At 38.7% G+C, this 12,851-nt stretch overlaps 1 protein-coding gene across 58 annotated transcripts in view; it reads left to right on the plus strand.

Annotated features, from left to right (window-relative positions):
• Positions 1-12,851, plus strand: part of NEK11 (NIMA related kinase 11) — a 323,589-nt gene that overhangs the window by 107,217 nt on the left and 203,521 nt on the right. The gene's annotated exons all lie outside the window — the stretch shown is intronic.

Genomic DNA, 12,851 nt, shown 5'->3' on the forward strand with positions numbered 1-12,851 from the left:
GGTCTTTTGCATTTAGAACTCAATATATTTCATTAAACTAGTTTCAAAAATTCTTTTTATTCAGTGATAATTGGTTGGTTTTGGATTTTTGGTTCCTGAATCACAAGGGAAAGTTCTTAATGTACCATAAGCATTAAATTTTAATACATTTCTGTTAACCTATTAAATAAAGTATTTGTAACCCTAAGTACTGTGCTTATTCTATTTTAAGGTTAACTTCAATCTCTGTGGGGAATGTACAGCTTTTCTATATTTTTTTCTTTTTGTTACTTTTAAGAATTTTACTAAAGATATTGGCTTTAAGGATAAACTATTTTTTTTTTTTGAAATGGAGTCTTGCTCTGTTGCCCAGGCTGGAGTGCAGTGGTGTGATCTCAGCTCACTGCAACCTCCACCTCTTGGGTTCAAGCGATTCTCCTGCCTCAGCCTCCCTAGTAGCTGGGACTACAGGCTCCCACCACCACGCCTGGCTAATTTTTTGTATTTTTAGTAGGGACGGGTTTCACTGTGTTAGCCGGAATGGTCTCAATCTCCTGACCTCATGATCTGCCTGCCTCAGCCTCCCAAAGTGCTGGGATTACAGGTGTGAGCCACCGCGCCCAGACTAGGATAAACTAAATTTTAAAATTTCTGGATTTTCAGTGACAGATGCATCTGAGATGTCTCAGTTTCTCTGAGCTCTTATATTAAAGGAATTTCTCCTTCCTTGTTATGGAACTAAGTGAAATCTCACTGCAGAAGCCATGTGGAAAATTGTATTCAGTATGTTCTAGTGTAAGCAATAGATCCTATTTCTTTTCCTTAGAAGAGGAATCTTATTATATACTTTTCTGCTTGTTGAGGGTTGAAAGAACAATCTAGCTGAGGGCTTGTTAATTAAGTAAATAATTACTGTATGCAAATCAACATAAATAGTTCTGAGCTTTCAAAGACAAGCAGTGTAAAAGATGTGCTTACTTCACTCTTCTAAAGAAGACAAAGTAGAAAATTACATTTTCTCTGGTTAGGGAAAAGTGAATCACAACAGGGGATATTGCTTAGGATTTTCACAAGGGTCATTATCTGTTCCTTGTTCTCGTGCCTACCAAATGGGAGAGAACATTGTCAAGATTAGGTCTGGGTATGGCAATTCCCCATGAATCCCGTCCTTTCAATTCAGTCTTGCAATTGTTCATTTCTAAATTATTCACGTGTTTTTTTCATCATTGGCTTACTTCTGCCCTGGAGGTCTTTTCCAATTCACCTATCATCTTCTGTCTTCTTTCCTTCTAACCCCCTTAACTACCACATCCAAAAGAAAAAGAAAACCCAAACCAAATAAAACCAAACATCACAAAGGTATGTATAGAGGAATAACTAATGAGTTCCTTTAAATTTTGCTTCATTGAACATCTACTATTTGCCCAAGACTGTGTAACATTCCTTAGGTATAAAGCAAAAGTGATAGGATTCCTACCTATCAAGAGAAATCTTGCTTCTTTTGGAGTCCCTTTCTCTAGTTTGAGAAATCAATTTTGGGCTTTGCTTCAGATCGAATTTCAATTATATACCTATATATCTCTTTACATTTAATTTTAAAAATTAATATTATGGACATTTTAAAATAGATTCAAATATATATCTTTATAGTTTAAGGTTATATGGTATCTCAAGAAGATGTTATGTTATGCCATCTGAATTAGGAGTAAATTAATTTACAAAGCCTATCATTTAAGTTTTTGGAATTATATGTAACAAACCTGGCTCCTTTTGACAGGCAGCTATATCTGCTTTCCAGATCAGATGAATATCTCCTAGAAAACAAAAGCAACAGAACCCACAGAGAGGAAAGGAAAGCATAGAGTATTTGTCTCAGTTATGTCAGTGTTATTTCTTTTTAAAAAATTGCTCCTACTATTACATGGAGTATTATGGGATATCAGATAGTATTGCTATACTTTAGGATTACAAAACTGTCTGACTCAAGAAAAAAAAAACAGCCAAAACCTCCAAAATATACAAAGCAGAAGGATTTTAATGTGTTTCTCTGAGCATTAGGTTAGCTCTCCTTGCAGAGATTAACTTTTCAGCAAGTACAAGCTTAGGATTCATCATCATCCTGACCCTAAATAACCACCTTATTATGGATTTAGTAATTACCTTGGTTGTATCAGAATCAAAGTGGGCTTATCTGGTAATGAAATTTCTATTGCCAAACCTAAAATGGAAATAATAAGAGAGAACTATTAATTATAGTGTCAGATACATACGTGTGATGAGTAATCTTTAGTAGACACTCTGAGAAAAATTAGATTGAATGAGGTTGAGAACCTGTCTCTGAATCTCAGTGTGTAGCATCTGTTTATTGTGGAATTTTTTTTTAGGATTAGAAACACTTATGAATAATTGACAGGTGTTTTGTTTTAGCACTAATAGCTGTACATATTATATTTATAATGCTTAAAGGAGAATTTGCTTAAAGGAGAATTGGCCTAATACTAGTTATGTTTTCATCTGTAATGTTTGCCCATATGTAACATTATCTTCATTCTGCAATCTGTTAAACTTTTCTGGCTTCATTTATTTATAGCATTCAGTACAGGAAGTCCTTCTCCTAAAAGTGGGTTAGGTTCCAAAAGTTTATAAAGTTATTTGCAAAGTTAGGATAATTAGGTTTACTGAGAACAATGCTTTGATCACAGCTGATTTGTATAAGCAATTGTTGAATACTCTTATACCCACAGGAGAAATACAAATATGAGTTGGGTTCCTAGGCCAGCTCATTAAATTGATTTAAACTATGAATATTTAGAGTATGTTATTTTGGTAGGAGAAACAAATAAAGGACAATATTATTTGAATAATGGTACTGCAATTAGACAGAAAGAAAACAATATTTCACTGTTGGTCTTATTTACTTTGTTGTGAGAACCCAACCAGATGGCTCTTTGATCTTGTAGCCCCCATATTCTTTGGGTGATATAAGTAAAGGGAACAGTGGTGGGAATAGTGGCAACATCTAGAGTGTACTGTGAAGCTCTCAGGGTCTTTCTCAGAAATTTGGTGTGGAGGTTGGTTGGGTGGGGGACAGAGAAGGAATCTAGTTCATGCCCAACATTGGACTCAGGCTTTCATGATCTTGGGGCAGAAGTGTCATGCAAGGATTAGCTGTGAGTAGAAGAAAACAGAGAAGAACCAGCACCTGCCTGACCTGCCAGGACCAAGAAAGTATCCTCATGGAAGAACATTTCCAGGGTGGACAGGGAAGGGATGGGGACAACAGCCTATTTTTTTGAGAAATACAGTCCAACTTGCCAGCATTTCCTGTAACTAAAATGAGGCCATCTAGTAGCTGGCAGCCAGCAGCTTCATCAGCTCCCTCCTGGTGAAGAAAGCTCTGGAGCAAAAGAATTAATTTTTTTCACTTGCCCATGGCCTGGGAAGTTCTTATGTGGGTTCAGAAGAAAGCTATTGACCAGGGAGTGCTTTCCTAGGGAATAAGCACTGGTGTCAGTATTTTCATCCAATGGAAGCTTAGGTGAGAAAACATTTCAGTCAGGTGAAGTATATTTGAACATTAATATATTTTTTTCAATGACTAGCATGAAATGGTTGATACAAACTCTGCAGATAGTACTAATTTGGCCTGATGAATTTTAAAAGGGTTAATAACATAGCTAATAAATCCTTGTTAAATTGATATTGATGGAGGAGGGGCAGTGCAAGATGGCTGAATAAGGGCCCCACTGATCATGCCCCTCCCCAGGAACACCAGGTTTTAAAAAAATTTAAATTTTTAATTCTTGTGGGTACACAGTAGATGTATATATTTATGGGGTACATGAAATATTTTGATATAGGCATGCAATTCATAATAATCACATCATGGAAAATGTGGTATCCTTCTCCTCCAGCATTTATCCTTTGAGGAAGACCAAGTTTTACAACTGTCTACACAAAGGAACCACCTTCATAAGAACCAAAAACCAGGTACCAGCTCAGCCACAGTGGTGTAGAGGACCAAGTGAGATCTTGGAGTCCCTGATTTCATGTCTTAGCTCTTGGATAGCATTGCTGGACCTTCCCTGGGCCAGAGGGGAACCCACTGCCCTGAGGGGTGAGTTCCAGGCCTGGTGGTATTCACCACAAGCTGAAGGAAGAGTCCTTAGGCCTTAATTGAGCATCAGTGGTAGCCTGGGAATGTTCCCTGTAGGCCTGTAGTGGTGGTGGCCATGGGGTGAAGCTCCTCTGCACATAGGAAGGGGAGGAAAGAGTGGGAAGGACTGTGTCATGTGACTTGAGTGCCAGCACAGCCACAGTAGAATATAACACCATGCAGATTTCTAAGGTTTTTAACTCTAGTCCCTGGCTCTGGGAGAGCATCTCTGGACCTGCCCAGGACCTAGGAAACTCACACCTCTCAAGGGAAGGACACAAACCTGGCTGGCTTCATCATCTGCTGCTTGTAGAGCTCCAGGGCCTTGAGTGAACATAGGTAATAGGAAGTAGTTATGGGGGCCTTGGACGAGACCTGGTGCCACTACAGTCCCAGTAGTGGTGACCAAAGGAGTGCTTGTGTCACCCCACCCCCAGTTCCAGGCAACTTAATACAGAGACCCCATTTGTTTGGGAGAAAGTAAGGGAAGAGAACAAGAGTCTTTGCCTTGTAATCCAAAGAATTATTCTGCATGTTATCTAAGACCACCAAGGTGGTACCTCTACAAGTCTGTAAGAACTACAGTGTTACTGGGCTTGGGGTGGCCCCAATGCAGATGTAGCTTAGATCACAACACCCAAGTATTTTCAAATACCTGGAAAGCCTTCCCAAGGAGGATGGGTACAAACAAGCCCAGATGGTGAATACTACAATAAATACCTAACTCTTCAATGCCCAGGCACTGATGAACATTCACAAGTGTCAAGACCAACCAGGAAAACATGACTTTACCTAACAAACTAAATAAGGCACTAGGGACCAATCCTGGAGAAACAGAGAAATGCAACCTTTCAGACAGAGAATTCATAATAGCTGTTTTGAAGAAACTCAACAAAATTCAAGATAACACAGAGAAGGAATTCAGATTTATATCAGATAAATTTAACAAAGAGAGTGAAATAATTAAAAAGAATCAAGCAGAAGTTCTGGACTTGAGAAATCCAATTGACTGGAGAATGCATCAGAGTCTCTTAATAGCAGAATTGATCAAGTAGAAGAAAGAATTAGTAAGCTCGAAGACAGGATATTGGAAAATACACAGTCAGAGGAGATAAGAGAAAAAAGAAAAAAAAAAAAAAAAGAATGGAGCACACCTCCAAGATCTGGAAAGTAGCCTCAAAAGGCAAGTCTAAGAGTTATTGGCCTTAAAGAGGAAGTGGAGAAACAAATAGGAGTAAGAAGTTTATTAAAAGGAATAGTAACAGAGAACTTCCTGAATCTAGAAAAAGATATTAATATATAAGTATAAGAAGGTTATAGAAGACCAAACAGATTTAACTCATTAATAAATGATGTGGCAAATTCATATACTCCTGTTTTGTTAATTCTGTGGGAGAGCAGGAGAAGGGAGGGTTAGTTCAGGATTTTCTTTCATTCCTCTTACTAAAGAAAAATTTAGTTGTGTTAACAAGTTCTTATTTCAAACACGCAAATTTATTTGGCAAGTATTAAATCTTATCACCACACTTCATTGTTTACATTGCTTTTTAAATTTGTTTTAAGTCTTGGAATCCCTAGTTGAGACTAGTCTTTCTATAGGAAGTCAAATTGGGATTGAATCTTTCAAATTCCAGGATTGGGCACTTTGTAGCGAGGAGCATCAGGGGCGAGGAAAGAGTGTGGCCATGAGAGCCTGGGCAGGGCCTGGGTTTCTGATGAAGGAGACCCCTTTGGATAGGAGCATAAGGTAAAATGTCCCATGATCCATAGGGGCATGTGGCAGATTGTATTTTCCAAAAATGGCCATCATAACATATCACTTCTCACATGTTCTTTTCTCACATGTTCTTTTTATAATGTGATGTTGACACACTCTTACTGAGAGGTGGGGTCTGTGTTCCCTCACCTTTAATTTGGGTAAGCCTGTGATTATGGCAAAATTGATGCTATGTGACTTCTGAATCTAGGTAATAAAAGCAATATAGATTTTGCTTGGTTCTCTTGAAATTCTTGTTCTTGGAACCCAACTACCCTGTTGTGAGGAAGCCTGAGTGGCACATTGAGAGACCAACATGGAGAGGGCCACATTGAGAGGAACCAAGGCCTTTGGTCTTTACTCCCATTGAGCTTCCAGCTGATAGCCAGCATCAGTTGGCCAGTGATGTGCGTGAGCCATTTTGGAAGTGGATCCTTAAGCCTCAGTTGAGCATCACCAGCAGATGCTGTGGGGAGCAGGTTCAAGGCTTCCCTGTCAATCTCTGACCAAAAAGATTCATGATCAAAATGACTGATTATTGTTGTTTTAAGGTACTAAGGTTTGGGGTGGTTTTTTATGCAGCAGTGGTGACTGGAGCAGGACTTCATCAGGAGAACGGCAAGCAGGAGTTGAGAAGTAGCCTCTAATCTAGGCCTCCGTATGACAATCTGGCAGTGTTTGTTTTCTTTATGTCAAAAGGCTCAATAAATTGCTTAAGAGAAGTGGCTTGTGCCAGAAAAGCAATCTGGCACTCTACTTGCTGGTCTGTTTGATGGGTAGAACCCAAGAACCTGGACCACAGCTGAGAACTTCCAGACCAGCAACTTTTCCATGTGCCTCAGAACTCTTCTTTCATTCCTCCTGACTTTGCCTTCTTTCTCCCAACCCCCACCTCAACGTCACCCCTAGCACTGGACCATCTGACTCCAGCCTTATCTTTCTATCATTCCCATGATTCAGTGGTATGCTGGAGCTCATACCAGCTCATAAGACCCAATTATCCACATTTCTTCTCAAGTCAATGTTCACTGATGTCACATTAGTAACTTGAAAACAACCATGGTATTTATACCATGGAAATTTGTAAATTAGGGCTTCTCCTCCTACCTCAGAAAGGCAGTGTACCAGAATAGCTCATACCTTTAGCCTTACTCCTTCTTGCCCCTAGGGTGGTATTTGCAGAAGGGAAGAGACGTGAAGACATGAAGGTTTCTGTCCTCAAAGGAATGATAAACATATAAACAAACTGCTGTATACTGTTATAGTGCAATACATATTCTGATGTATAAAGCAGAGAGTGATTGACAGCTGGGGATAGGGGTAGAGAGCATCAGCTACAGTCTTAGAGAGTGCATGATTCCTGCTCAGGATGGGGAAAAATGGAGAAGAGTTTGGCAAATGTATTTCAGGTAAAAAGACCCAATGTCAATGACCAAAAGTGAGGGGTGCCCACTGGGAGAAGAGGGAGGGAACTGTGCAGGGAAAGAAAGTGGCTGGCCAGAAGAACCATTTGGCCAGGGCCTTCTCATTCATGAAGGGCCTCAAATGTATGTGTTTAAAATTATTTCCAAATGAGGTGGTATATGTTAAAGGTGTTTATTTAATGCCAAAATTTCAGATATATCACCAATTTTGAAACTTTTATTGGGGTATTTATTTGTTCATTTAAAATATATACTGGGAATTTAAAAATAGTTACAAATGACTTGGACCTTCTCTGACTACTGAAAGACTCTGAGAAATGGTATGAAAGGACATGGAAGCATGAGAAAGCTCAGGTTCTTCTGATTAGCTGTAGGACAAAGTGTGTATGTGGCAAGGAGGGGAGTGTTGGTACATTTGACTGAAGGGCGGGCAGGGGTCAGATGGTGAATGACCCATGTAATTATGAAAAGAAGCTTGTACTTTCATCTTCTGGAGTATGAGAATCTGCTAAAGGCTGTTAAGCAGAGGAATGATGTATCAGTCAGCTTTGCTGCGGTAACAAAGAACTCCAAAAAATCTCAGGTACTTCATATATTGATTCTTTGCCTTACCTGAGGACTACAGATTAACTGAGTTTCTGCTCCAGTTGCAGTCCTGCTCTGATCCATAGTTTTCCCAGTTCCAGGACACAGGTTATGCTCTGAAAAACATGGACAATACAGTGCTAGAGAGAAAGAGCATGTGTCTGCCTTTAGATCCTCCACTCAGTTAGTTGTGACACACTTCATATCCACCCATATTCCACTGGCTGAAGCAAGTCCTATGCCAATTCCCCCTGTGGGGGAAGGGAAAAAGAATATTCGCAAAGAGCAATCAATCTACCAGGGGAGTCAGTCTTATTATGATGCCAGCTGGGCTATAGAAAACTGACAGTAGGGAGAAGATTGGTGGAGACTAAAGGAGGGAGATAGGTAGGTCTTCTATTAACCTGGCACATTCTACTACTTTTGATGTTCTGTCCATCATAAAAGAGCCTCTGGAGATCATATAAAATTATTAAAGCAGTTGGAACACAGCCATTCAGTCAAAATGTGAAGCAGTTCATGCCCCATAAGCAGTGTCGGCTGTTGCCATATTCGGTCTTAATAGAGTGGCTGAGTAAATAACAGTTGGTTATGTAAGGATGCTTTGATCATTGTTTCCATTGCCAACCTACCTCCCTACCCCAACTCCAAACATCCTTTCCTAAGCTGTATGGTTTGCATAAAATCTATAACTGTGACCTTAAGAATAGCTAAAGATGCAAAGAAGCTTTGACTTTTAGCCAGTTTTTCTCTTCTGCCACCCTGTGGTCTCCTTGTTCTCCTCACTCACTGGTTTTGATCTTTTTCCTCCATTAGCCACATTCTTATGGTATGGAGGACATGGGACCACTACAGAGGAGAGAGCTTTGATAATCTTCCTTGAAACATTGTAAAGCTCAGTTGTGGAGGAAAGTAATTAGAAAGAGCTGGTATGAACAGGAGAAAATTCACCCAAACCTTGTTTTGTCAATAATTTTATGGGTCGTATTCCCTAAAATGTGACAGTATATTAGAATATGATAAGAGAAATGAGTTCACTTTTCTTTTTAAATATTCTTTAAAAAATTCAGCTCATCAGTCACACTAGCCACATTTTCAGTGCTCAAAAGCCAAATGTGGCTGGTGGCTATTGTTTGTAGAAATAAGAACATTTCTATGAGTTCAATAAATTCTTTTGGACAGCCCTGAACTATTTTGCTCCAGCTGCTTTAAGCCTTATCTTGGGATTTCTTGCATTCACCCTGCTTTTGGATTGGGCAGAACCCCTGCTGGGTTTAATTGCTATGCTTAGATTGGTCCACTTTAGATAGTTTGAGGTTCTTCTGTTCTCATGTCCCTTGATCACTCCATTGCTTCCCTCTGCTTCTTCTCACACAGATGCTGATACTATGCCAGTCAAGTAGCTGTGTGGTTTGTGTTCCTTCACTTGCACAGCAAGGTTCAAGGGGACACCTTATAACTTGGCTTTATAATAAATTATTATTAAATTATAATAAATATTATTCATGAGTTTTGAGTTTTGTTCTGTAGCTGCTCTGTTTTCATATGTGGATTCAAGAAAGATCTAAAAACTATGCTTCCACTGTATCTACTGTTTCCCCCCAAATGCTCGGAATCAGCATTTTAACAAAACCCCTAAGTGATTTACATATATGTTAAAGTTTGGGAAACACTGATAGAGGTTTTGAGATAAGGTAGGTCATTCATAAAAAATTGCTATATAATATTGTTCCTTAAGTACTATTACTTCAAGCAGCCCAATGTTTTTCATTATATTTATTTTCATTTCATTATATTTAGACTGAATTTAGGTTAATACTCAATTCTACCTAAGTAAAGACTTTCATTTAGGGTGATACACACTAAAGCAAAACCCACTACTCTTTTATTACATTTCCATTACTGTTTCCATAGATTGAACTGATTCCTCTTTTCTAGATGAATATATCAGGATGCTCTTCAATTACATCAAAATAAAACATTATCTAGAAGATCAACAAAACTTCCTAACCAACTAGAGTCATGCATTGCTCTGGGGCAGGCATCTGTTTGCAGAGTCTGGCAGATTTTGAAGGGTAAATTTAGTTACCTTAAGACAAGCAAAGTCTGAGTTACATTTGTGATTTATTATCAATCAACCTGTGCTTCAGAAATTTTCTCAGTAGTTCCGGACAAGTTGTTCAATTTGGACAGATGGCAAGTTTATGGAGTTCAGGTGTAATTTGCTTCACAGACACCTGATCCCAGCCTTCTTTTTCATTGCTTGTATTCATACTCCCTCAGGGATTTATTTGCTTATCTCTTCACAGTTGTCTGTATTTTGGAAAAAGAAAGAAATGCAAATTGTAGACTTCTAAGTAAAATACACATCTCACTTGTTTATTTCAGCTCTCCCCCACCCCCAATCTGCTTTTGTATCAGCAGATTTAAGACCTGGGAGTCAAATAAGGGAAAATTATTTTAAAAGGATGGAAGTGAAGAGTTTTAGATGATTCCTATATGGAAATGTCTGGTTGGAAACTAGAAAAAAGAAACACTGGTACATAGAAATATAGTCACCATATGTATTTTGGTTACCTACCGTATGTATTTAACAAAACCTCTAAGTGATTTGCATGTATGTTAAAGTTTGGGAAACACTGACAGTGGTTCTGAGATATGGTAGGTAACCAAACATCTTTTACCTTTGAATATCTAGGTAGTTTCTGTAATCAGATTGTCCAAGTTTCAGTTACTGGCGCCCATTCCAGGTAGGTGCACTGGGACCACTATAGCAGGTCCGTTTCCACAAGTTACTGGCTGATAAATGAAGTCTTCTCTACGTGCTAGAGTGCAAGCAAATACTAGTCATCAAAGTGAAACAGGTAATTGCACTGCATACTACAGTGTAGCTGAGAGGATTTCCAAAACAGAGAGTACTGTAGTCTTATATGAGAATTAATTGATTACTAAGTTAGGCTATGAATCTAATTGTTCCATAGTTTCTTTAGCCAGATAATTGCATATCTTTTTTATTTTTATTTATTTTTAGAGATGGTCTCACTCTGTTGCCTAGGCTGGAGTGCAGTTGTACAATCATAGCTCACTGTAACCTCAAACTCCTGAGCTCAAGTGATCCTCCCACTCCAGCCTCTGGAGTAGCTAGGAATACAGGTGTGGGCCACCATGCCCAGTTAATATATTTTTATTTTTTGTAGAGATGCAGTCTTGCTATGTTGCCCAGGCTGGTCTTAAACTCCTGGCCTCAACCATTGTCCCACCATAGCCTCCCAAGTCACTGAGATTACAGGTGTGAGCCACTGTGCCTGGCCTACCACATCTTTTTATAACCTTAATAAATTCATCAAAGTAGAGTTATATCTCCATCAAACCAGAAAGGTGATCAATTCACTGTTAATAGACCACTAAGCCCTCTTTCCTTCCAAGCAATGAAAAGACAAAAGCCAAACTTGTCTGCCTTCCTTTTTCCATAGAAGGTCTCATAGTCTGTGTGCCCTATATTTGCCGTGGTGTGACGCCCTGCATAGCTTGTTGTCTAAGGCCCCAGTGATTTTTAAAAGTGAATTAAGGTTCTATATAGAACCTGAAATTACCTTGGGAAATCAGCCCCTGCTTAAAAGGCTCTGTCAGGGCTAGCCCTGATTTCCAACTCAAGAGAGACTTTCGTGATCCAAAAGGCTCTGATTGGTGCAAGATCCAGAGGCAGGATAGCATAGAGAGTCTGTGTCTCTAGAGCCAGATAGCCTGGGCTACAATCCCAGCTTTATGACCTACTCAGTATGGAACCTTGAACAATTTACCTAATCTTATGGTTTTCTCATCTGAAAAATGGGAATAATAATAGTTCCTACCTCATTAGGATTGTTGTGAGTGTAAGTTAATGAGTTAAAATATGAAAGGAACATAGAAGAGGGCCTGGCTCATAGTAAACACTATTAACATTCCAGCTATCATTTTCATTATTATTATTATAATTATCATTATTGTTGTTACCATTTGTGTTATTGATGGAGACAATCTAATAGCTGCTTCCAAGACACTTTAAAATGTTCTGGATCAGGGGTTGTTGCTCCCAAGGGTTGTTGTTACAGCCCTTCCGATATGCCCAGGCCAGGAGAGGTTGTCTAGCTTGTTCTGTTTCTAATCTTGTCCTCAAGGAGACCCTAAGCCTATGTGGGGTGAGCATAAATCATCAGAACAGAGTGTGTAGGTGCTGAGTGATTGCTAGCCTTCTGTTACTTGGACTTGCAAATTTGATTTCTTTTTTTCAGTTTTCAGATTATTATGTGTGTGTTAGGCTACATAACAGAATGTGATCAATGTAACTTTTTAAAAGAGAAATTTTAAAAAGTATTGGATGAGAACTAATACCAATACCAACATGAGCTGATCTGACATGGTACCTTTCTGGGCAAATTACTTCCTCTCTCTGAGCTTTGGTTTTCTCACTGATAAAACCAGAGTTTGAAATGAGCAAATCTTTATAGTCTCTTGTAACTCTACTATTCTGTGTAAGAAGACATTCTTGAAGTTTGAATTATAGATTCTTCTGTGGGGAAATAACCAAGTATATTGTGGCAATTCATAACATAAACATTCTACATTAGTAAAAGTATTTGGTTCAACTTGATGATTATATATTTTTAGTGATATTTAGCCCCTCTTGTTTTCCTAAGGAAACTTTTTTTTTCATAGTATAACAAGTACTGACTTGGTATTGTCTGTCTTTTTCTTTTTAGCCATTCTGATGAGTGTGTAGCATGTAGTGGTAGTACACAGTGGTTGTAATTCGCACTTTTCTGATGACTAAAAATGTTGAGCGTCTTCTCATGACTTTTGGCCATTTAGCGTCCGTTCAAGTCTTTTGCCCATTTTTCTATTGGATTCTCTCATTTTTCTTATTGCTTTATAGAAGTTTTAATTAATTTTATCCATATTTTGGTAGTCTGAT

Source organism: Homo sapiens, chromosome 3, assembly GCF_000001405.40.
Source record: "Homo sapiens chromosome 3, GRCh38.p14 Primary Assembly".
Classification (NCBI taxonomy): domain Eukaryota; kingdom Metazoa; phylum Chordata; class Mammalia; order Primates; family Hominidae; genus Homo; species Homo sapiens.